The sequence below is a fragment of the Homo sapiens genome, chromosome 6 (assembly GCF_000001405.40).
Source record: "Homo sapiens chromosome 6, GRCh38.p14 Primary Assembly".
NCBI lineage: Eukaryota > Metazoa > Chordata > Mammalia > Primates > Hominidae > Homo > Homo sapiens.
In genome coordinates, this window is record NC_000006.12 from 56,601,745 (window position 1) to 56,627,862 (window position 26,118).

The 26,118-nt window shown below is 35.9% G+C and overlaps 1 protein-coding gene across 11 annotated transcripts in view; it reads right to left on the minus strand.

The window, feature by feature from the left end:
- The window catches only part of DST (dystonin), a 496,835-nt gene that overhangs the window by 143,749 nt on the left and 326,968 nt on the right, over positions 1 to 26,118 (minus strand). For 6 of the 11 annotated variants that reach the window (NM_001144769.5, NM_001144770.2, NM_001374730.1 and 3 more), the window contains 6 exons: positions 25,460 to 25,543; positions 23,413 to 23,520; positions 22,786 to 22,884; positions 12,612 to 12,740; positions 9,764 to 9,852; positions 8,683 to 8,818 (listed from right to left, as the gene is read on the minus strand). In NM_001144769.5, coding sequence (NP_001138241.1) covers positions 8,683 to 8,818; positions 9,764 to 9,852; positions 12,612 to 12,740; positions 22,786 to 22,884; positions 23,413 to 23,520; positions 25,460 to 25,543 — 645 coding nt within the window. Of the gene's footprint in view, positions 1 to 1,137; positions 1,288 to 1,460; positions 1,677 to 1,819; positions 1,970 to 2,092; positions 7,601 to 8,682; positions 8,819 to 9,763; positions 9,853 to 12,611; positions 12,741 to 12,852; positions 15,675 to 16,241; positions 18,972 to 22,785; positions 22,885 to 23,412; positions 23,521 to 25,459; positions 25,544 to 26,118 lie in introns of those variants that run through there. The other 5 variants (NM_001374722.1, NM_001374736.1, NM_001374734.1 and 2 more) reach the window with 2 other exon arrangements.

Genomic DNA, 26,118 nt, shown 5'->3' on the forward strand with positions numbered 1-26,118 from the left:
ATTTATGTTTTGTAAATACATTTCTCACATCAGGGAATGGAAGTTTTATGAATTTTTTTGCTATTCATCAAAAATCTATTTATCATCTAGTAATAAATGATAAATTAATTATTTAAATACCATGGTAGTTAGTATTATATAAAAAGACAAATAATCCCTCTAAAAATGTTTTATCTTTACCTGTCACATTGCACTTAAAATATAACTCTGACAAAAGGCAAAGACCTAACTTAGGTATATTTAGCACACTGAAGAGAAACATCTACCTTAAAATATGACTTGCTAACATTTACAACATCCATGTAATTGTGGTAAGATATAAATAATACTTTGAGGGATTTGAAATATGAATGAAATATGCCAGAATTTCAGTTTTCTGACTCTCAGGCCAGAAGCCTAATCATTGTTCATGAGGAATGCTGTTGAAATTAAGAACTTAGAAAAAAAAAAAAAAAGTATGCCAAAAGTGACAACATATAAACACAGTCATGAGCCACATACGACAGGTCACATATAAAATGTTGGTCCCATAAGATTACAATGCCTTATTTTTCCTGTCGTTTTCTATGTTTAGATACACAAAAACCACTGTGTCACAATTGCCTACAGTAGTCAGTACAGTAACATGCTGTAGAGGTTTGTAGCCTAGGAGCAACAGGTATATCATATAGCCTAGGTGTGCAGTAAAGGATGCCATCTAGGTCTGTGTAAGTACACTCCTTGTTGTTTGCAAAACACAAAATCACCTAACAATGCATTTCTCAGAATGTAACTCCATCATTAAGTGATGCATGACTGTACTACAAATATTATTATGTATTTACATGATGATTTTTATATGGCTAATTCATACTATTATATATTTATGTGACTAACACATAAATAAATATATAAATAAAAATCTCAACATGTCAGTGGTGTAAGAGTATGATAAGGCTTTTGGGATAGCATCAGAATGATACCCTTAAAGTTGTGATTATTTTATAGTTGTGTCAACTATGAATAAAGACATCTCTAGAGACAAAGAAAGGAAATAATCCTTTGTAGCCTTAGCAAAGTCATATTTTCTAAACACTTGTTATATATTAAAGTCATAGTTTTTGAAATATATTTTGTCATCTTTGTTTTGATACTTGCCTTGAGAAACTCCAAACGTTTCTTTACATACTCAGAATCTTGAACATTCACAATCTCAATATCCTTCACAGATTTGCTCTTCTCTGATACCCAATCTGAGAATGACTTAAGTTTATGCAGAAATTCTTCATGGGAAACTGCTAGTTTAGACTAGAAAAAAAAATTGTGCATTCAGTTATCTTTCCCCAAAATGTCAAATTCTTACAAATAATGACTGTGGTTTAAGAGTTAGCACTCTAAAACTAAAATACTCCAGCTTATGACTAAATCCTCAAATAATAAAATTTTCTTCATAAATCAAAATTTTGACATTTTATGCCTACCATTTCAGAGTCGATCGCAAGCATGATCTGTTTCGTTCTTTCTGAAGACACGTTGCTGAGGGAAGAGAAGGCGGTCTTCAAACTCTGGTGGCTAATACTCAATTCTTCAACATGGCCTCTGGGAAAGTCACTGGGAAGAGACTTTAAAAACTCTTCTGCCAACTTCATATCTTTTCTTAAAATAACAGCAATTGGAGCTAATCCCAATTCAAATGTCTGCAAAGAAATATATCCCGGACCTATTTACTATTTAGTGAAAAACCCAAATATAAACATGAAACATAGAAGTGTTCTGCTTCTTTTTCCCAGTCATACATCAGCTGACTACCATCCATAAAGAGGCAGTAGACAATTCTTACCTCCAACTGTCTAAGTTGATTCTTCAAAGCTTCCAAGTTGTTATCCAGAGATTCCTGGTTGTCTAAGGGGGGTTTCATATCTTGAAGCAATGTCAAATACTCATGCATTTTTTCAGTGTGCTGTAAACACTGCTGTAATTCACTGGAAAACTAAAAACAAAGTTGGACATTTTAATTCAATAACCTTTATGCAGATGTTTAAAGCAAATGTATGGGATTATTCTCACATGGTTCATGCAGCTTTTTCTGTATAAAATGTATAGGTCAACTTACTTGTTCGGTTGAGCTATCTCCAGAAGCCATCTCTTTAGACCCTGAAGTACATTCCAAATGGCTTGGGAAATCATTACACAGATCCTTGAGCTTCTCATCTCTTGGCAATGTTGATGCCCACACAGTAGAGCTTTCTAGTCCAATTTCTTTTACAGTTTCTAAATTAGGAGAATAGTAGTTTCCTTCTTTGCTTTTAATATCACCAAGAATATGTGGCTTTTCTTCCATCATCTCAGATGTAGAACATGCTTTTTGATTAAAGTCTCCAACATGTTCTATTTTCTCTGAATATCCATCAGCAAGCAGTTTGTAGAAAATATTTTCAAGCTGCAGTGGAAGTACTTTAGACGTAATGCCTCTTTTCTCTAGGTCATACTCCATATGAGTTAATTCTCTCATCAATTCAAATACTCCTGTAATTTTTTGGCTATGTTGATCTTGCTTCAATATATTAAGGAGAAGCTCAGACTTAAGATTTCCAATACAGAAAGGATCATCTCTACTTTCTGGCTTTAGTTCTGATGAGTTAGTCATGGGGGAAACTCCAGAAGAGTCACTCATTTGAGAGTCGCTGGGCACAGTAGATGCCTCATTTACCAACTGTGATGTGGTAATCCTTTTAATTAAATTTTGAATTAAAATTTTAGTGTCTGCACAGGCTGAAGGTTCTTCAACCTCTTGAGGGTTCATATGACCTTCTTTCAACCTGCTTTTTAAGATATCCTTTACATCCTCCACAAATACCTGAGACAATTCAGGAATCTGAACCTCCTTTTCTTGGGATCTTGGAGACAAGGCTTGTTCTTTTGGTAGCTGTTGCTCAATTCTTTCTTTCTTATTATTAATTTCTAAGAATGAATAGTCAGTATTTAAAGTGTTACTGGAGTTATCATTTCCTAATCCATTTGCACACCGCTCCGACTGCAGAAAATCATTTTTCCCAACATCTTCTACATGTTTACGAGATAATATTGAAAGTGTGGCTTCAATACTTTCTGGTGTGAACTGAGAAATTTCTGTTCCTCCTCCTGAGATGCTTTCTTTACTACAAAGATCATTGCTTTGGATCATGTCATTAAGAGGTGAGTCTTTTTGGGTACTAGTGGACTTCTCTTTTGTATTATTAACTCCTAATTGTAAATGTTCTTTCATGGGAGGGGCAGTTATTAAAACATGGCTTGGGACATCTTCATTTGGTTTGGCTACATCTTTTGCTTTTATATTTTTAGCACAATGTTTTAAGTAAGTAAACAGATCAAGCTCTTTCTCAGGTCCATCAGTGAATGACTCCTCAAAATGTGTATTCCCTTCCCACGATGTAATGTCTGAAGTAATGTCATCACTAATCTCTTTGGAAACTGATGTGTCAAAAATTTCTTCAAGATTCTCAAACTGAACAGGACTTTTACTAACTATTATTTGTAGATTATTTGGTTCATCTTTAAGAGTTACAGTTGCTTTTTTAAGGCTTCCTTTCTGATTAAGTTCTTCATTGTTTGTGATTTGTGGAAATGGAAACTGACTATTAATTAACTTGAAACTATCCCTTGTATTTTTACCAGGCAAAAGTTTGAGATGCCTATTTTCTTCTTCTACTAGACCTTCTACAAGCACTTCTCCTTCACCCAAGTACATTTTCTGAATTGATGTTTCATCTTCTATTAGAATATCACTTTTGCCATCTCTCCCTTTAATGAGATCGCTTCCATTTCCTTGAGGATCTTTGTCAGTTACAGAGGCTATCAATGACAAATGGCTTTCCTCAGCAGGTTTTCCTATTAAATCAGGCTCAGTACAAATGATGTGATCAAGAGATGAGTCAACTTTTGGTGTCATATTCTTAAAATATTCATCTTTACCTTTCACAGAATCAGTCAATTCTGGCAATTCTGACCCTTGAATCAACTTAACCTTTGTGTTTGCTAGATCAGTACCTAATTCAGAAGTTGAACTGATATTATTATTATCATGTGAAATACTTGCAGGGCCAAAAGTTTTTTCAGATTCAGTGTCTTTAATGATAGGCGGCAATACATCCTTAAGTACCATCTCATGGTTCAACAGATTTTCTTTGCTTTTTCCAGCAATCTCAGTTGTATATTCTGGAAGGTTGCTTTTTTCAGTAACTAAGTTATTTTCACTAGGTGATGCTAGCTGTACAACATTTACCCTTTGCTGTTTTTCTAAAGAGCTACAACTGTGCATTTTATCCAGAAGAATCATTGTATTAATATTTTCATTTTCATCACTGTTTTCATTTAAAATAGAGGCACACAACTGGATATCCATATCTTCAGCCACATTTTGGCACCTGGGCTTTCCATTCTCATCTCTTATACCTCCTCCTTCTTCATCAATGCCATCATCATCATCGTCATCCTGATCATTACTGTCATATATATAATCCCCATAACTTTCTTCACTTTGCATAGAATCTAAATGATCAGTATCGGAGTGAAATTCCTGTCCAGTTACATACTCTTCCTTTCTTCCTCTCCAACTGCCACTGTCATCAAATTTTAATGATGCAGTGAAGCTCTCTTTTCCTCCTACAATATCATAATCAGTCAATGAGTCAGATTCATCACCTTCAAGGATATTTGTGCATTCCCTTTCTGATCCAGTTTCCAGTGACTGTCCATTCACCTTATCTGAGCCAACAGGATTTAAATGTATTTTTTCACCAGAATCTAATTCATCTTTCTCAACATCCATAAGGAAATCCTGAAGACAATGTGCTTTGTTCTTCACACTTAAGCTACCAACTGGTGCCCCCTGGGGAACCATGGAATTTTCATTCTCTTTTGAGACATCATAAAAAACATCAGCAGGAGAAGCCGTCTCATCATTTTCCTCTTGCAGTGTGTCGTAGTCCTCAGGGTGCAGGCAATCACGATCATCACCATCAAGAAGCAAAGAATCATGGTCATCATCTTCAAACAAGGGAGTATCATAAAAATCATCATCACTATCAGTGTCTGTTCCTGTGTTATTCTGCTGATCATTCAGCAGTGACGTTTCATAGTCACTAGCACTGATGGTTTCATCAAGCAATGGTGTAGCACAAGTAAGAGACACAATGGCATTATCAGTATCACCCCCTGGAGTCACAGCACAGGAATACTCTTCTATTTCAGACTCATCTTCCTTGTCTTCAGGCATCTGCTGAAAACCTGGATGTGTTTTTTCATCCTCACCAGAAGTATTTGAAATGTATTTATCATTGTGATATTGTACTTGAGGATTACTAGAAATCATATTTAAAGATTTCTGTCCATACTGCTCTCCTGGTAAACTGATGTTAATAGCTGCAATTCCCAGAAACTGGTCTTGAAATTTTTCTCCTATTCTTTGACCTGACAACATGGTTTTGTCACTGAATGATAAGGCTGGGGCTTCACACTTATTTCCATTGCTCTCTGGGGTGTGTGTATCATTAAAACTTCCCTGACTGTGCATCAATTTATCATGACTTAACAAGGCACTTAGCCTGGGGGAATAGTCAAAGATAGGTGAATCCCTGTTTGTATTATCTTCATTCTCTGTTTCATTCACACCACAGAATTTACTCATTTTTGATTTCATAATAGGATTTTCTATTAAATCACTTGGAAAGTTTTGAATGTTTTTAGAATGACTACATTCATTTGCACGTTCATTTGTTTCCACTCGGCTTTGATTTTCATAGTTTGTAAGTATGTTTTCAGAGTCACTTCTAAGCATGCTAATGTCTGCAAGTTCAGTCTGTGTTAAATATGATATGAGACTGGGAACACACACACTGGGTGAACTGTTAACTTTAGGATCAATTGATATTGTACTTGCCAGTTTTCCTGACTGAGAAAATTCACTATTGATAACAGTATTTCTCATTTCATTAAATTCTTCATCTATAGCACACTTTCTATTTTCAGGAGTCTCTTCATGTTCAGGTTCTCCACAGTGACATTTATTGAAACTACTTGGTGTAGCTGTACATTCATCCTTTTCTCTACCTGAAGCATTATTAAGAAATACACCAGATGAGCTTAAGACATCGAGACATTCTTTTATGGCTGTGTTTCCATCAAATTCTGCATGACAGCCTTCCAGTAGCATGCCAACAGCCTCATCCAAGTCTCCATCGTACAGCAAAAGCCTTTGCCCTGTGTTTGCATCCATATAGCTATTTATCATTAAATAAGATAGAAATAATTTTTTAGTTTCTTCTGAGGTCTGAGTAGTGACAGGTTCTTCTCCATCAAAAACATCCTCTTCTTGTCTGTAATCATGAACTGTGGAGGGTTGAAATTTACAAAAAGAGAGCCATCTTCTGGCATTTTTACAAGCTTCTAAATCTCCTAAATCTGGCATTTTATCAGGCAGTGTTATATTTTTTAAAATTGATGCTGTGTTGTTGTCTATAATTCCTAGCTGTTTAGCAGCATCCAAACCAATGACTTGAGAACTTTCTGGAATATAAAGAGCAGCTATTTTTTGTCTGCCATTCAGGATTTTGTAGGCCAATTCATTTGTAATCAATTCTTGCTGCAAGGAAGATGATGTGGGAAATATTTCACCAGAATGGGGCCAAATGAGTCCAACATAGCCTCGCTGAGCTTCCAGGACCAGAAGAGCACTGCTGGAAGTTATTAAATCACACTGTACTGCTTCGTCTACAGTTAAACGCTTGGCAGGGTTTGACTGGATGATTCCACCAGTTTGAACCTGATATGTGAGGATACTGCTAGCAGTGTCCCTGTCAATCACCCCTTCTCTGACAGCTTCTTCAACAGTCATTCTTTGGCCAGAGTTGGAATTGATCAGACCTCCAGAAAGAAGCTGTGCACTTAACAACCTAAACATGGTTTCACGGTCTATGAGACCTTCATGAGCTGCTCTTAAAATGCTTATGTTTCTTCCACATTTTAATGTTATTCTACCTCCTTCTTGTGGTCTCACAGGTAGAAGCCACATCCCTGTGTTTTCCTGTAAAGTACTTCTTTGTACCATATCTATTAAAGAAACCTTCTCAGAGGTGCAGGGGTCAATAAGATCTTTGCACATATTTTGCCTTTCCAGAACTTTAGAAAATAATGCTGAGGAAACCAAGTTCTGTTGGAAAGCCTTCTGTAGGGTCAACTGTTCTCCTGTGGCTGGAATAACCAGAGAGCCTGTAGAAAGCAGTATCTCAAGAACTTTGATGGCCATGGATTCTGTTATCATGCTTTGAGCTAGAGCATCCAGTACTGGAATTGTGGTAGGTGACGCAGCAGAAATAATCTCCTTAGCTTTACTTAGTTCTTTGAGTTGGCACAGAATTTGTTCATCAATAAGGCCATGACTTTTGGCATCTTTAAGGTCAAAGCACTTTCTTAATTCTGGTGAAATTAGACCAGAAATCATTAGCTGTGTCTCAAGCAACCTAATTCCTGTGTCATAGTCAATGAGGCCTCTTAAAACTGCTTGAAAGACTGAAAGGACTTCTCCAGTTGTCTGATCAATGGTGCCTGCAATCACTTTATCCAGCTGAAAGGAAAATGCAAAAATCTCAGGTCACTCTGTTACACAAGGGTGGGCGGAGTTTCATGCAACTTAGGTTTTTTAAAAAATAAATAATACATTTCAACATAAAAATCCTCTACTTACCAAGGCGCAGCAATGCTGTGAATGTTAGGCAGTTCAAATGCACAAGTGATCTATGTCAGTGATCTATTCAACAGCACAGGATGTGATAAAAGCTTTGAAAACAACATGCATCTGTGAATTGAAAACTTGATATCGTGTATATTGACAAGGTTAGTGAGGACACAACAGAGTAGATGATGATAGTGAGAAAACAGAACACATATCTAGAAGGCAAACCATGCTTTCTGCATTTAGGTGAGATTAGAGTCTAGTGGCAGGAAAGAGAGTATCAAACCCCATGCTATTGATGTTTACAGCATACAGACTTCTTCAAAGATAGTCAAAAACTAAGAAACTGGAAAAATTGTTACATACCCCCAAAATGTGACAAATTATGTGGAAAGTATTCCCAGGAGTAAGGAATTAAATATAAAGATAACTTTTTGAATATTGAATATTATGTTAGGCCTGTTGATATACACTGTCAAGTTTTAAAAGTTTAAGTACCAGCCAAATTTTAAATGATTTATACTTTAAGAAGATGCTAGGGCATCCTCACTATAATGTATGGCCTTGTATTACTCAAATAAGTCTCATGGATATCTCTGAAAGTCAAACAATCTCTAACACATCAATGCCACCTTTAGAGATGACCCACAGGCTCTTTTATAGCCTATAATATAATAAAATACCTACTATACTAGAAGAATGGCTTTTAAAGAGAAGAGTTAGAAGAATGAATGATACTTTTCTTTTACCATGCAAGGCAGAGATTAAGATGTCACAGAAACTGATGGTCAGCATGTGTAAGATTGCATTTAATAAACAACACTGGAATCTCCAAACATTTAAATAAACTCAATCCCTATTTTAACTACGTACAAAATTCAAGGTCATTTCTTTATTATTGACATAGATTTCCAGAGCCATGCAATCAAACTAAGCTTCTTGAAACAGCCTCATGTTTAAATAAATAATATTACCTTCTCCTCTACCTTTACATCTCCTGAGGTTTGTGATTCTTGTAGCTGTTTCAGAGATTCACTGAATAATAAATTATAACTTTCCTGAAGAGTTTTCACTTGTTTTTCCAATTCATTTCTTTCTTCATCTGTCATTCTAAATAACCAGAAATGATAAAAAGACTAATGCAAGTCGTCCTCAAGAGATAAAGATGTATTAGGTTCAATAATTTTGTCATATGATGGTAAAATAAAATATAGCCTCACATACATATTGCTCAGGTCTCAGTATGACTGTATATGAAAATTAAGAATGGCCTTAAAATATCTAAGGATCTTTCCCTTGCCTGAGAAAAGGACTGAAGGAAAGGGTGTAAACTAATGTATTGACCCTTATTTAACATACAAAATTCCAAAATAACAATTGCTGCTATCTGACAGAGGGTAAGGTCTCATTGTTAATCCCAACATGGAAAAGGGACAATAAGGTACCATTTCTCAAGATGAAACTTGTTTAGACTAAAGCACAAACAAAGAGGAAATTTATAAGGGGATTAACCTAATTTGCTAAGGTATACTATAAAGTCATTATGAAATAATCCTAGGAGGACATCCAAAAAGAATTTAAGAAAAAGGTGGATTCCTTCCCTGAGTGAAACACTGACTGAAATATATAAAGTGCTTTGCTGCAAAAAGTAGGGACAAAATATGAGAAACGAGGCTGCCATAGGTCTCAGCTAAGAAAATGAAGACCATATTTATACATATTTTCCAAAGAATAAGTCTCACAGAGTACTACTTAGATTTAAGACTTGACTCGGAGTCTGCACTCTACCTCTCACTTGCTATTAATTCTTACCTCTCTGAGCCTGTTTCCTTATCGGTAATACATGGGGATAATAAGAATATTTCAAAGTTGTAATAAAGACTAAAATTGACAATTAAATTACTAAGTTGATACTCTTTACATTACTATATTAATTGTGATTAGTTTGAGTCCCATATTTAACATTGCAATTAAAATTTACCACCTCTGTTTTGCTGAAAGCTTTTAAGAATACTTCCCCACTTAAAATAAAAGAGCTAACTACAACCAACATACTTGTCTCCATGTTTTGCCAAAAAAAGCTGTATAGTTTGAAGTGCTTCCGATAATTGTTCCTTCTTGGTTGATATTTCCTCACTGGAAATCTGTAAGGTAAAGAAGGCACATTCAAACTCTTCCTCCAAAAGGAGTAAACAGTATTTTTTTTAAAAAAAAGAAATTAATCAAGCTTTAGTCAAGACCCAAGTCTATTTTCTGGGTGACCCAAGTGAATAACCTATCAGTTATTAGCAGTCTATAGAGCTAGATAAGAGTATTTTATTTAGAATCCGTAAGGAAAGCTCCTCTCTCTATCCTTAATGCCGTCATTTTCAAGAGAAAATAATACATTATACGTTTCCTGCATCTGTCCTAGTCCAGCCGTGGATAAAGGTGGCCTCCACCCGCAGGTGGGCACTCAGCACTGGCCCAGTGTCATCCTTGCGCACTGCAGTCCTCAAAAAGACACATGACTGTGGGACACTACTTCCAAAGGGCATCTTCCTTCTGCCAAGCTCCTAGACACAATGTTCCTTTTGAAAAAATTATGGTGAAAGTAATAATCTGTAGGTATGCAGACCCAGAATAAAGAATTTCTAGCTGAGAGCAGTGGCTCATGCCTGTAATCCCAGCACTTTGGGAGGCCAAAGCAGGCAGATTGTTTTGAGCTCAGGCGTTTGAGACCAGCCTGAGCAACATGGTGAAATATTGTCTCTATGAAAAATACAAAAAGTATCCAAGTATTGGTGGCTCATGCCTGTAGTCCAAGCTACTCGGGAGGCTGAGACAGAATTGCTTGAGTGTGGGAAAGGGAGGTTACAGTGAGCTGAGGTCGTGCCACTGCACTCCCACATGGGCGACAGAGTAAGATCCTATCTAAAAGAAACTTTTTAACTATTGAAAAAAAGAACAAATAATTTCTAATGCTAAGACCCACTTTGTAAAAGTCATCTGTGACTGTCATCTGTCAGAGAAATAAAATTGATCTGTTTGGGGAAAAGCAAGAGGTCACACACTTTCTCCTAATTCCTCAGTGTATCATTTCCAAATCCCTTATTTCAGAAATTAATTGCCATTCTTTTAAATTAGCAGAAATAAGAGGAAATAATGGGCCAATGAAAAGATATATTTTCCCCCATGAAGTCTATTTAGAGTCAATTTAAAGTTTATTTTTCATGACTATAATCATGAGGCTGCATTGATTTTTGAAGGACATACTTATATTAACTAAAATTTCCTTTAACAGAACGACCATCAGCTGTTCTTAGACAGTTATAATTAACGCCATTATCTGCATTAAGAATGTATCTAGGGTACTAGGTCTAAATCTGACTTAGTAATGTTTTAGAGAATTTAAAACTAAAGAATGTCTACAAAAAAATTTTTTTTAATTAGCCAGGTGTGGTGGCATGTGTCTGCAGTCCAGCTACTCAGGAGGCTGAGGCAGGAGGATCACTTGAGCTTGGGAGGTTGCGGCTCCAGTGAGCTGTGATCATGCCACTGCACTCCAACCTGGGTGACAGAGCAAGACCCTGTCTCAAAAATATATATATATACACATGAAACTACAGAATATAAAAATACCAAGGGTTTATAATCAAAATTTCTCAAAAGAAACTAACTCTCCCAAGGAATCTTTGTTAAGCTTTATGTCCCCATTTTAGTTGTCTTCCTATTTAATGAGGGGGGAGAAGGATATTTTACATGAAATATATATATTAAAATTACTTGAAGCTTTTTGGTATAAAGCACCAAATGCAAGTGCTTTCCCACATCTCCCACATCCCACATATATAGTATGTAAGACTATGACTGAATACTTCACTTCAACTGAACAACTTTTCAAGTATATACTCTGGTCTGTAAACTTCTCCAAGAAAGAACCTCAAATAAGGAACACTTGCCTCATATCACAGCCAAGTAAGACAAGGCACTGGTGTTCTCCCCTATTTAGTCATGTCAACAATGTCTATTTTAATAGATGACAAGTGAGTACTGATGCAGAGCTAGAAGTGGGAGCTAAACATTAAGATTGGATGATAGCCTTGAAATTTCTAAACGTCAGACAAGAGCAGGAGGGCAGTGTAGGAAAGTATTCCTTGAGAAAAACGCTTCTTATCTTAGCGGAAATTTATTTTTTTAATACAGCAGCAATCCCACTGCTATCACCAGCGGCAGCAATACTAAAATGTACACCCCAACTACCAACATCCTAAGAGCTTTAAGTGGTGCAGTCCAAGGACATCTCCCAAGCTGCGGCCATCCAACTAATCCTAAGCAGTTGGGATACAGAAGATAGCCCGTTAAGACTAAAGAATTCACTAGGATAAGGGATAGTATCTAGAATTTCCAGTGATTGACTGTAGACACTTCCTTATGAGATAGAAAAGACCCAGAAAAGCACAACTAAAGTCAATAATCAAGAATGTTAATATCCTGGTTTGTATCTTCATTGTTCTTGAAACTTTTTATGTTTACATCTGTAAGAATAAGACGGCATATCTTTATGACATGGAGTGCATGGATCTACTCTAGACATAAAACAGAATGACTCTGCTCTTCAGCTATTCTTATTGTAATAATCAGGAAGCAGACCTAATTATTAGGAAAAGCAGCATACTGTATTCGTTTACTAAAAATAAGAACAATATATAACGTTCAGGCTTTGGAATTAAACAGCTTCTTCTGCCACACACTAACTTTGATTCTTTGGGCAAGTTATTTAATCTTTCTGATTTGCATTATATTGGGCTATAACAATGGGAAAATTAAGGTAAAAATTAAACATTGTGCTAGGTAAACTGTGTCAACTCAGTTAACGTCCCTGCTATTATTATTATTATTAAACCAGGACTTCTGTGAATACCTTTTGCTTAGAGAAGGGAGGTTTTCCAGCCTTCTCTGCATCTTTCAATGTCTTGCTGATATTTGATACCCATTTTTGCAATTCTTTGGCTTTTTCAACATGTTCTTTCTTTTCTTCTTCCAGTGACTTCTGACAGTTGTGAGCGGTAAGAAAAATATACACTGCATTAAATGACTTAGCTATTAAACTGACCTCTCCATAGCAAACAAGAATGTAAAAATTTTTTTTCATCACACACAGGTTACTAAAACATTTTATTCATTCACTTAACCATATTTACCATGTCACATAGCAGATGCACCTCCAAAATGTTTATGGTAGCAAAGAAAGCTATGGCATACATTCCTTAATGATTGGTCTAACCTCCCAGCTGTTCCATCAATGTTACAAATTTTAAATCTCAACTTTATTCATGAGGCACTAGAAGATCTTTGAATTGCTGCCTTTGCATTAGCATTACAATCCTAATTGTCCTGACAAAAAGGTACCATAGAAGGCTGATAGAATAGAGAACGTCTACTGTACATGTAAGGAAAATACACAGAATGAAGAAAATCCTTCCCCTCCTCCAACACATAATATTCATAATGTTAGCTTTCAAGTGCGAAGACTTAACTAGAAATGGGACATTGTGGTAAACATTTTAATATGCAAAGAAGGTCACTATATACAGAAAAAGGCAAAACTTTTTCATTTTTTGAAGCAATCTAAAACACTGCAGCTTGAAGGCTGTGGGAACGAATTTATATCTTTCTCTTTGATTCCATGGTGCTTCATGACGTGCTCTTTCAGCGAGTGCAATTTATCATTTAATAAATGATCACTATTCAATGAAGGGGAGTTCTGAAGAAATGACACTGTGAACTTGGAGTTCATCAAGTTTATCCCACATTCTACGTAAAAAAAAAAACATTTTAGTGTGGCCAAGTTTCAAAAAACCATTCTCAAGGCTAAATGAAACCATTTGAAGGGCATTAAATCTTATGTAATTTTCAATTTAAAACTTACTCTATTTTGAGCACTTAGCAATTTGCAGCCCTCAAGAAATAGAGTATGTTACATAATTCACAGACTGCATATGTAGCCGATATCATCATACTCTGAAAAAGTGGCATGAACCAGCCTGCATCACCCCTTGCACAGTTATTTAAACATGTCCCATTAGGAAGAATAGTAGAGGCTAGAAATTCCTGTCATCAGGGGCTCAGATACTTCTAACAGTTTAAGTCCTGTGTGGAAATCAAAATCAGCTTTTTCTAAGGCTTCTTTATATGTCAACTTTCTTTTTGTCTGAGGGCATATTATATTTCTGACATATGACTTTTGATCTTTGAGTTTTGTGGCAATGAGGACATCTATAATACCTACTTGGAGAGCCTCTTCTATTGATAACCGAGAGTGAACCTGTGGCTCTATCAACCCTCCTGTCAAGTACTGAAATTCCAAACATCGGATTCCCATTTCCTTATTTATAATATTTGCATTCACAGCTTCCACCACTGACATCATTTTGTTAGTGATGGGATGGCCAATCCCTGTGATTACTAATTCACACTGTCGCAGCTGCTGGGCAAACCCCTCATCAACCAGGCCTCTATGCAAAGCTTCGGCCACCCGGTACTTTTTGCCAGTAAGAGGATCAATTATGCCCCCTGTACTGACTTGGGCTTCAAGGCATCGGAGGGCAGTAATCCGATCAACCAAATTTCTACGGGAGGCTTTTAGTACAGAGATCCTTTCCCCACTAGCAGTCAGCCAATACCCTGCAACAGGACTGTGCAAATCTTTCTTGGGGACTAACCGGCTCAGCAAAGAATCAGCAAGTTCTGTAAGTGTGATGAGGCCTTCCTGATACTTTTTGACCAAGGCTTTGTCAATTGTTCCCTGCTCTATAGCCTCATTAATATTGAAGTGTAATCCTGTTTTAGTATCAGTCAGCATATGAGAAGAATGCCCATAGGATTCAAAAAACATAGCTTCCTTCCACTGATATTGCTGCCCTGAAAGTTCAAGATATATACTTTTCTCAATCAGGTTTCTCTGGAAAGCCTCATACACGGTCAATTCTGATCCTGTTTTAGTATCTACTACAGAAATTCTATGTGTTTTCTTGACATTGAGATTGGAAATGTTCCTCTCCCCAAATGGAAACAGAAAGCATTGGGACTCTACATCAAATACACACATTCGCAGTAATTCTGAGTAATACAGAGCTTGCTTGTTATTGGGATTAGGGAAAACTCTTGTGTTGCTGGATGGCTCATGTAAAAACTGTAAGATGGCATTATTCAACAACCCCTGCTGCAGAGCAATTTCTGGAGGAACACGAATGCCTCTCACAGGGTCAATGACACCCCCACTGGCAATCTGGGCTTCCAAGATATGTTTACCTTTTTGTCTGTCAAGCATTCTATTTTCCATAGCTTGAAACACTGACAATGTCTTAGAAGAATAAGAATATCCCACAGCTGCCTTCTCTGCCTCAAGAAGCCTAATTCTGAATTCGGGGTCAACAACTCCTTTAAGAACTGCATCTTCAACAGAATATGTCTGACCTGAAATGGGATCAATTATAAAACCTGTTGCAGCCTGAGCTTCTAAAAATGCCAAAGCCACCATTTTGTCTATTATGATTCTCTCGGCCGCTGAGGCAAATGAAATCTTTTCTTTTGTAGATTCTAGGTAAAGCCCTGCAATTGAGGTGGCTTTCGTCAGAAACTTGTTAAGAGTTTTCTGAACTTCTTCAACAGTCTTAAGACCGAGTCGCAGCTGCTCAATTGTTCTCATGTCCAGAAGCTTAGCTTCCACCAACTGCCTGGCAGTCACAGTGTGCCTAAGCCCTTGGAATTTAAATTCATCATCCCTGACTGAACATGCATGATCACCATCAAAGTTCTGGAAGGTCTCTGGTTCTAAGCCCTTCTTAAGGAAATCCCCTTTCTTGAGTCCACCAGATGCTCTGCACCCTTCAAGCATCCATTCTTCAGCACTGGGAACTGGGTTCTTTTCTTGTTTTAATGTTGTGACTTCTGTATGCATATCATACTGCTTGTTCTTAGCTATCTGTAACAGGAATTTATAAAATGTTAAAAGTCACCTCAAGAACATTATGTCACTTTATCCATTCTCAATCCAAACATAATTCTTTGAATTACAAAGACAAGATTAGTGAAAAGAAGAAAAATTTCAAACCAAGGAGGGTTCAGGAATAAGTATTATATTATTTTCAGAGTCTGAATTTTATCTTAGATGACAATTAAAGGTATTAAAATTATATCTTTAAAAAAGACTAAGACAAAGTCTAGCCACAGAATATGTTAGAAGTTAAAGCTAACTGCTTGGTTCTTCTAGCTTTTTTGATACTCACATTTTTCAGAATGTATCTCCACAGATATAACAGTATATCTATTACATCTGTATGTTTAATCTCAAACATTCAAAAATTAAAGTTAATTTATGATAAAGATTCAAGTAAGTTACCAGAAAGAGTATAGCATTATTTTCCTGTCAGAACTACAATGAGCCAATCACATTCAAAATTGTTTTAAAAATTTAGTCTAGGAGAGAAAGGAAACAAATGAGGAAACTTGACATTAGGTAGCTGATAAGGTCTCAGAACACAGAGTATACCTCTAAGGGTGTCAAAACCTTCACCAGTTCCATTTCACATGCGTTATCTTGATACCTAACAGGTGGTCTAGAATTGTTCAGGGCTTGGTCTCTTATCTTCTCAATTTCAGACAGTCTTGTAATGGGGTTTGTCTCATCAAAAGTTATCTGTAACTCGGTGCTTGTCTGAGAAAAGTACTCAGAGTAACACTGCTGGCTTTTCTCTTTCTCGAGTGGAGCCCCTGGTGGCTGGAATTGGACTTCTTTGGGTATCTGTTCAACAACCCGATGCTGCCACTTCTCTTCCAATGGCTGTGGTTCTTGAGTCCATCTCAACAGAGGGGATCTGGGTGTTGGGTGAAGGTGTCCAGTGTTTCTAGAGGACAGCTCTCCAGAGTGCTGGCACTCCTTCACTGTCATCTCAAAATCTGGTTTGAAGGTACAGTCTTTGGCTGTGCTCTTTTTTTGAATTTCACACTGGAGCAAAACTAATTGATGTTCATGCTCTTTGATCTGTTGGTCCATTTTTTGCTTCAGGTTTTCAACCTCACGCTTCTGGGCTATCAGCTCATCCTCAAGTTTCTGACATTTTTGGTAATGATTTGCTTCCATGTGCTGCCCTTGCTGCATTTGTTCACGATACTGTTGAAGCTGTCTTTCAAGTTCTTTAATGTTTGTTTCACAAAGCTTAGCATTTTCTTGGGCTCTAGAGTTTTCTTGTTGAAGAGACACAAAGTCAAGCCTAATGCCTGAAATATCATTTTCAGTGATGACTTTGGACTCCATTAATTTTTCCATCTTCTTCCGAAACTCCTCTGCTGATTGTTTGAATTTACCAGATTCTTCCTGAAACAGAACCATCTTTCTGTGGGTCATCTGCTCCTCTATGGTCTTTAAGTGTAATTCGTCTTGTACTTTTTTCAACCTGTTATTTAACTCTTGCACCTGAGCTTGTTGTAGCTGAACTTTCTGCTCCCCGCGTCGCTTCTCTTCTTTGGAAGCATTCAGTTCCGCATTCAGATTTCTAACTTCTTTCTTGGTATTCTGGATGATAATGTTCTGTTGGTCACACTTTTGCTTAAATTCACTTACCAAATTTTGACTTTTCGCCAGGTCTTCTTCTAGGCATTTAATTTTTCTTTGAAAATCCTGCTCTGTTTTTGTCTGTTTATGCAAGTGTTCATTTGTGCTGCGTAGCTGATCTTTAAAACCATCTGCCTGAATTTTCAGTGCTTCACATCTTTGCTGGATAGTTTGTTTCTCTAAAACTATATTCTCTGATTCTGCCTGAATTCTCTGCATCATTAATTTGGTTTCATTATTCTGCCTAGTAAGCTCCTCTACTTTTTGTTTTAGCATCTCTGCACACTCATTACTTTTCTCCAATTCTTCATTGAGCCTTTGGATTTTATCATTATTTTCTTTTTCAGCTTTGATATTTTGAAGCAACTGCTCATGGCTTTTCTCAAATTGTTCTTTTAGATGATCTGATTTTCTCTGGCAGATTTGTAGTCTTTCTAATTCTTTCTCATCTCGAAAAGAATGAATTTGTGAATTTAAATGCTGAATATTCTTCTCAGCTACAGCATGTGCCCTTGTGATTCTGTCTACTTCTCTTTGTAGTTTCCCTTTTTCATGATTAAGAGATTCTAATTCTAACTGATAATTGCGCTTTATTTTCTTGAGATCACTAGCTTCTTGCATGGCTTCTTCAGCTTTACCTGTGGTTTGATTCAATTGCCTACCAAGCTCTCTGAGTTGTTGAGAATACCCTTTCTCCGCCTGATCCTTCCTTTCCAGCTCCAACTTAAGGCATCTGAGTGTATTATTTGTTTCATCTAGTTTATCTTTTAGCAAACGAGCCTTTTCCTCAGATGACGTTTTTTCAAGCTGGAGGGCATTAAGTTCATATGTCAGCTCTCTCATGTCTTGTTCAGCCTTTCTATTGGCAGCTGTTAGTTCATCTACCTGCTGTTTGAGTTCTTCTGCTTTCTGCTTGTCATGTTCTTGCTGGAGACCCGTTACTGCCCTGCATGATGTAGCCTGTGTGATCGGACACACTGGCAATGCATTTTCTCTACATGTATACTGAATTTCAGTTATTTTTCTTCTTGCTTCCAATTCAATTTTCTGCTTTTCTTTCAACTGTTTCTCTGCTACCTGTTTCTGAAATGCAAGGTCTTTTTCCATCTGCTTTATCAGCTTCAAGAGTTCTTCCTCATTGTCTCTCTTTCTTCTTAATTCTTCCATTAATTTATTTTTTTGTTGCTCCAAATCATTGAGACTTAAATCTTTTCTTTTAAGATGATCTTCCAGTGTTCGTCTGGTAAAGGTGTTTTCCTCCAACTGATTGCGAAAATTCAGGAGGTTCTCTTCCACGGCAGCTCTTTTAGCCTCGGCCTCTATGGTGAGCTGCCTCACCCGCTCCAGTTCTCTTTCAGCGGCTTCCTTCTCTCTCACAATGGTTTCAAGTTCCCTGCGGTACTGCTTGGCTTCACTTTCAGCCCTTATCTTCTGCAGAGAGATATCTTCTACATTTCTCTGCTGCTTTCTCAATTCATTTTCTGCAGCCTCCCTGACCTTCGGAAGTTCTTCCTCTACTCGGGACTTTTGTTTCTTTAGTTCAGCTACCATTCTTTCCAACTCACTTATCTTTCCTGTAAGTTTGCTATTCTCAAGCACTGTTGCCTTCTGACGCTGAAGCAGATCTGAATATGCCCCATGTTCAGAAGTCTCCTTACACCTTTTAATCTACAAAAGACATTTTGAAAGTGTCAAGCCTGTTCTGTTCAAAATATCTTACAACGTATGAATCAATGTTCATAAAAGTACTTACAAAACCAAGTGAACTCAAATGCAGAACAAGCGCTATCACCACCACCAGCAGCATCACCTTCTTCAGAGAGGAAGCCTCAGAAAGTCAGCAGAAGAGGACAAAAAACCCTTCACGACAGGTTTTCTGAAGAATATCTTTTTGCCCCTCAGGAATAATTTTATTTTAAAAATTAGCTAGCTTAGAATTTTATAGCAAGAAGGGAATTTACAACAGATGAGGAAAGGGAGAAACGAGGAGGACAGATATTTTTGCAAACTCACATTGGGTGAGTGACAAAGTGGGAAATAAAACTCTCACGACGGTGCCCTTTCTTCTCTTGCATGCAACATAATCCTAAGAGGTAGGAAGAACACCCAACACATAGGAACCAAATGATGCTAAAGAATTTAGTTTTCTAACCTAATAGAAATTAAAAATGATACTTATATTCCCATGTCTTATGGTTAAAAAAACAAAGCACAGAACTTTAGAACAGAGAGCCAAATTAGGAAATAACATGGGGAAGAAGGAAAATTATACAAAAACTTGAAATTTCTAAAGTCAGATCCCTTATTTGTTTATACTTGCCATATTATGACAATTATAATAATCAGAATTGCTAATGCAAAGGCAGCTACAGTCCTGATGGCTCTGGAAAAGATGCGCTTCATATACTCACAGATTTTGTTGCTGTTGTTAATAACATGCCTCATATGAATCACTTTGACAAGCACCTTTAAATACTCCATAAATATAAAGATATTTGTTAAGTATAATAGCTTTTAAATATATACTTAGGGATTCAGCTCCAATGTATAGAAAAAATTATAAGAAAAAATTTTTACTCTACTAGGGACAGAATCAATGTCAGCTGGGAGGAGTATGCTTTACATTGATTATAGAACTACATGATCAGGATTAGTTTATAATTACAATTTAATTTCTCTTTATTAATATTCTAGTGTGTTAGTTTTGTATCATCAACTCAAGATCACCATAAAATAATTTAAACAGGAATACAGAAATTATTTTAGACAGATTTGTTTTCATTGAGAAGCTTTGGTGAATTTCAAGAATTTAATTTCTATTACAGACCATACATCTTATTTTGCTTCCTCTAATTTCTTGATCTCCAATAATTTTGATGAGAATTTCAGTTGTTTTCTTTGCTAACCTAAATAAGGTTTCTAATAATAATTCATACAGAAACAAATCTCATAATCTGTTATCTTCAGCACTCTATTTTCTTTATTTTAGTATCAGGGTCAATCCTGTGACACATGAGCATTTTATCTATTTAAATACTAAGTTTTCAGTATTTCTTGAGGAGGTTATTTCTAAGACAGTCTCAGTTGCTTATCAAACCTCCTTTAAAACTTAGCTATTGCTAAGAAATTCTGAGCTATTTCTCATGCTCAGATTTAGAAAAACTAAAAATTCCCTCAGAAAAAAATATCTGTTGTTGAACCCTCAATGCCTTAGGCAATGCAGTGATTTGTTAAGAATCTCGGCTGGGCACGGTGGCTCATGCCTGTAATCCCAGCACTTTGGGAACCCAAGGCGGGTGGATCATGAGGTCAGGAGTTCAAGACCAGCTTGGCCAACATGGTGAAACCCCGTCTCTACTAAAAATAGAAAAATTAGCCCGGCGTGGTGGCAGGCGGCAGGCGCCTGTAATCCCAGCTACTCGGAAGGCTGAGGCAGTGAATTACTTGAACCCAGGAGGCAGAGGTTGCAGTGAGCCGAGATCACGCCACTGCACTCCAGCCTGGGCAACAGAGATCCGTCTCAAAAAAAAAAAAAAAAAAAAAAAAAAATCATGTTGTCTCTTGACTTTTTTAGCAAATGTGAGAAAAATTACTAGAAATAATTTAGTCCAATTGCTGACTTGCTTTCTTGTGGATCTCAAACTTATTTGCATAAAAATAACTTCCTTAACTTTTCTCTAAATCTTCCTCAATCTTGCCCTTTAATCACGGTGATTAATACTTAGCATATTTTGTTCTCAGCACAGACTAAAGCATCTCTCTCTAATATCTAATATCTATTACAGATATTTTAGTAACATTTCTTTTAACTAAATCAGTATTACTTCTGAAATTAACTTGCATCCATCTTTGATTTTATGTTTATTATGGAAAATTCTGCTTTAGACCAAGGTTTTTCATGTGGGTCTTCAAACCTCAGTTGCAGAAACACCAATCTTTTGAGTCTAAAAATTAAGCTATGTATCTTTTACACGACATTCCATTAACGTAATGTTAAGTGGTAGTTTTTTTTAACCTATTTTAAATTATAGCCTTCGCTTGTTCTTCCATAACTGTATTTGCTGGTTTCAATTAACTACAAATCTTTGACATTTTTAAGGACAATAATAACTTGCATTCAATTAAGGCCTTCTAAAATATTTTTTGTTTCTATCAATTGTTAGCATTCTGCCTCATCAGATAAATCGAGTAAGTGGCCCATATATGTATAATCAGATACATACTATGAGAAAAGAACTTAAGTTATTTTATTTTATATTTAACTACTGCATATTCAATTTAAAAGATCTGTATACCATTTAAAATGGAATAAGATCTCTCAAAAACTAAAAATATAAGAAAATTATGGATGTTCTTTCATAGATGAGAGATGCATGCATTTAAGATGGTCACAAATATCCTGGTTCTCCTAAGCACAAAGGAAGAGGGTTATAAAGTCTTGCAATTAGCTATGTTAGTGATTTAGCTGCAGAAAACTGTTAACTCTGAACAGACTAAAACAGTTTATAAAAGTGGTCACATTTTTAGGAAACTGAGAAAGTAACATCCAATAGATGTTTACTGCTGTTTCAGCTCTCATATGGAGTTACATTAAGCATAATCACCTTTAGAATTTCAACAACAGTCCAATTTAAAATAGCTAATGGCCCACAATTTATTTATTTCAACATTCATTCTACTATTTTTGTCTGTTCTGGGGAATAGAAAGTACATCAAGATAACAAAGCATAGCATACTCCCTTTTAGATTACATACAAGAGCCTTTGGTGACCACTGATCTTTATAAATAAGTCCTTACTCTTCCTATATGATTTTTAAATATATGATTTATAAATGCAGAAATATGATTTTTAAATGCAGAATCAAAGCTGCAGAAGTTCTCCAAATCAGAGTGGCATTTAAATAGCCTTTTTAAATGCCATGTGCTATATCTTTTTGCAAAAAAAAAACAACAAAAAACTCCAAAATTCTTAAAAAGTATCATTTTGTAAAAACGTCTACTACTTCTAAGTTAGCATCTTTACATTATGTATAATAATTTTAACTTCTTGAGATACAAATTAATTTAAAATGCATAAGACAAATGTGTTCGTGTGGTATTCCTGTAGACATCATACCAGCAGTAACTATACTTCAAAGAAGTATACCTCTCAGCTGTGAGAAAGCCGAAAAATATTCTGCCAAACTGCCAAAATTTCGTAATTTATTTAAGACATTAACCCCACCATATTAGAGTCCTGAAGTGAAAATGTAAAGTCATGAAGTGAAATGACTTTCTATTTGAATGAATCTTAAAGACAAACAAAAATCTTAGGCCTTCAGTCATTTTCATTGTAATTTTATAATTCAATATTTATTTGTACATCTGCTACCGGCCACATAAATTTATCATGAAACATGTTTTGCTTTCCCAAACTACACTGTAGTTACTGCTCATCTCTAGCTCCTTTATATTTACAGGGTGCTCACTGTTAATGATTACCTCCTCCTCTTCCAGCCTCTTCAATGAATCACCAGCAAATTTAATATATTGTGTCATGAGAGTGACCAGGGCAGTATATCGAGTCCTTAGGTCCATGAACTGCAAGTAAGGAAAAAAATAATAAAAGCATTACCTCCAGTTACTCTTACTAAGTTGAATGAATTTTGAATAATAATTACATTAACTAGGCCTTCAGACAGCAAAGCACACAACTCCCCCCATAATAAATGATAAGAATGAGCTTATTATTACTATTATGCAAATCATGGCAAATGATAATTCTCTTCTAAATTTCACCATGAAGTACATAAGTACATTTATTTATCTCCATAGTTAATAATTAATCTTGAATAAACATTTTTAAAGGGTTTTTAAAAACCCTTAATAGAATGTATTGTTCTGGGTGTAGACTTTCTCTTTGGGATGACGAAAAGGTTCTGGAAATAAACAGTGGTACCAGTTGCACAATATTGTGATATACTGCAATGTCATTAAACTGTACATTTAAAATTGTTAAAATAGTAAGTTTTATACTATGTATATTTTACCACAACAAAAAATAAAATTTAAAAAGTAAGTGTTCTTTCTTTTATGCCCCTTCCCCTCTTTCTCTCATACTTTTATTACCTCTTGAATAATGAGATCTGCTGAACTCTGCATTCTTCGGCGTTTCACTGGAGATTTTTGTTGTGAATCTACCATGGCCCGGTAGGTCATTGTTTGTAATTCATAGTCCTGTATAAAGGAGTCAATAAGATAAAATGAATTGAAGCAAAGTACTAGAGTTTCATTCTACAATAATTTAACACAGATAATTAGAACCTAGATTCACTAAAATAACTTTAGTGATTTGACACAGATCATTAGAACCTAGATTCATTAAATTAAGTTTAAATAAAGAAAATATAGTCGTGTTTCACATGAAACATTTCAGTCAAAGACAGACCGTATACATGATGGTAGCCCCATAAAATTATAATGGAGCTGAAAAATACCTATCGCCTAGTGATGTCGTGGCACAATGCATTACTCACGTTTGTGGTGATGCTGGTGTAAACAAACTTACTGTGCTGCCCGTCACACAAAAGTATAGCACACACAATTATGTTCAGTATGTAATACTTGGTAATAAATGACTATGTTACTGGTCTATATATTTACCACACTATACTTTTAGTTGTTGTTTTAGAGTGTACTCCTACTTATTTAAAAAAAAAAAAAAAGTTAACTGTAAAACAGACTCAGATAGGTCCTTCAGAAAGTATTCCAGAAAAAGGCATTGTTATCATAGGAGAAGACAGCTCCATACATGTGATTGCCCCTGAAGACCTTCCCATGGGATTTGGAGGTGTAAGACAATGATATTGATGATCTTGACTCTATATAGGCCTAAGTTAATGTGTATGTTTGTCTCTTAGGCTTTAACAAAGAAGTTTAAAAAGTAAAAAAAAAAAAAAAAAACCAAAAATTAAAAATAGAAAAAAGCTTACAGAATAAAGTATAAAGAAAGAAGATGCTTTTGTATGGCTGTACAATGTGTTCGTTGTTTTAAGCTAAGTGCTATGAGAAAAGAGTCAAAAGGTTAAAAAAATTACAAGTTTATAATGTAAAAAAGTTACAGTAAGTTAATGTCAATTTATTATTGAAGAAATTTTTTTATAAGCTAGTGTAGTCTAAGTGTACAGTGTTTATAAATTCTACAGAGGTGTACAGTAATGTCCTAGGCCTCTACCTTCACTCAGAGCTCACTCACTAACTCACCAAAGCAACTTCTAGTCCTGCAAGCTCCATTCATGGTAGGTGCTCTATACAAGTGTACCATGTTTTGTATTTTATTCCCTATTTTTATTATACCTTTAATATGTTTAGATACACAAATAGATACCATTATGTTACAGTTGCCTACACTATTCAGTACAGTAACATGCTGTACAGGTTTATAGTCTAGGAGCAAGAGGCTGTACCATATGCCTAAGTGTGTAGAAAGCTGTAACATGTAGGTTTATGTGAGTACACTCTACAATGTTCGCACAATGAAAAAATCACCTAACAACGCATTTCTCGGAATATATCCCCTTTGCTAAACAACACATGACTGTAGAGCAAAATTACATTTTTAGGAATCTATCCAATCCTGGAGATGCTTCCAAGATGGGGACAAAATCAGAAACATGTAGGGTGGTCGGGTAATTTCCAAGTCTGTTTAGAAGCTCATGAAAATATATGTAACAATAGTGTAGCCCTATGCAGCCCCCCTTTCCTCCAGCTAAGCAATGGAACTATGGATCTGGAGGGCTAAAACTGAAAAGTTGTCAATGACAACTTGAAAAGCATGAAAAGTGTCCCCCTAAGTGAGAAAGTTAGAAGCTCTCCCATGAAATACCCTAACAATGTTAAAGAAAAAAGAAAGAAAAGTGATAAGAAACCAACTACAGAGCTATGTATTCTGGTGGCTGGGAGTGGCAGGGGTGTACATATGTGAGAGAGAAGAAGACGAATGAACTGGGGGGCTGTCATGTGACTAATTTCACAAAGAATTATTAGATAAGTGTCAAAAAAGTTCAAATGAAGATTCTTTTAAACACTGAGTGAAATGACTTGCATGGCTTTAACAGTACATGTAGAATCACAAACCTGAATATTAAATTTTACTAAAGTTAATGAATCTTCCTACCTTCACTGTAGCTGAGTACTGTTCTGCATATTTTTGACACTCGTCCATTTTGCTCTGTTTCATTTCTATTTCGGACACCAGCATCTATAAATATACACAGTTTAGAACAAAAATGACAAGGAATTCAGCTATTCTACTACATAAGATGCTCAGTAACTAAGACATATCTACATCACTTCACAGTACAGCTCCTTAGCCCTTTGCACTTAATACACAACTTGCCTTATGGGAAAATTACAAACTTTCAGATTAAGCCACAGAAGTGACCCACCCCATGTGGTTTTCAAAGCAGAAATTACTAAACTCCTTAGGAATTATCCAAAAGCAGACTTGATGCCCTTGGCCACCACCTATTTCTGAAGAAAATAGAGCTAGAGATGATTGGCCCCTAAGATAGAACAAAAATCTCAAAGCATTCAACTTTCTGTCAAATGTGGTATTTAATTTTCCATTGCTAACCATTTTTACTTATTTAGGAACCTAGAAAACTATTGAGGCCAGCAAAGTGTCAAAGAGATTTCTATACCTATGATTAAATAAATTATCATTAGGAATTTGAAAAGTATCCCAACACTCTCCACTTTCTGATTACCCATGCTTTCAAAAATTACTTCCAAGAAATAAAAATAAGTCATGTATGTAGGTTTGGGTTGCAAGAT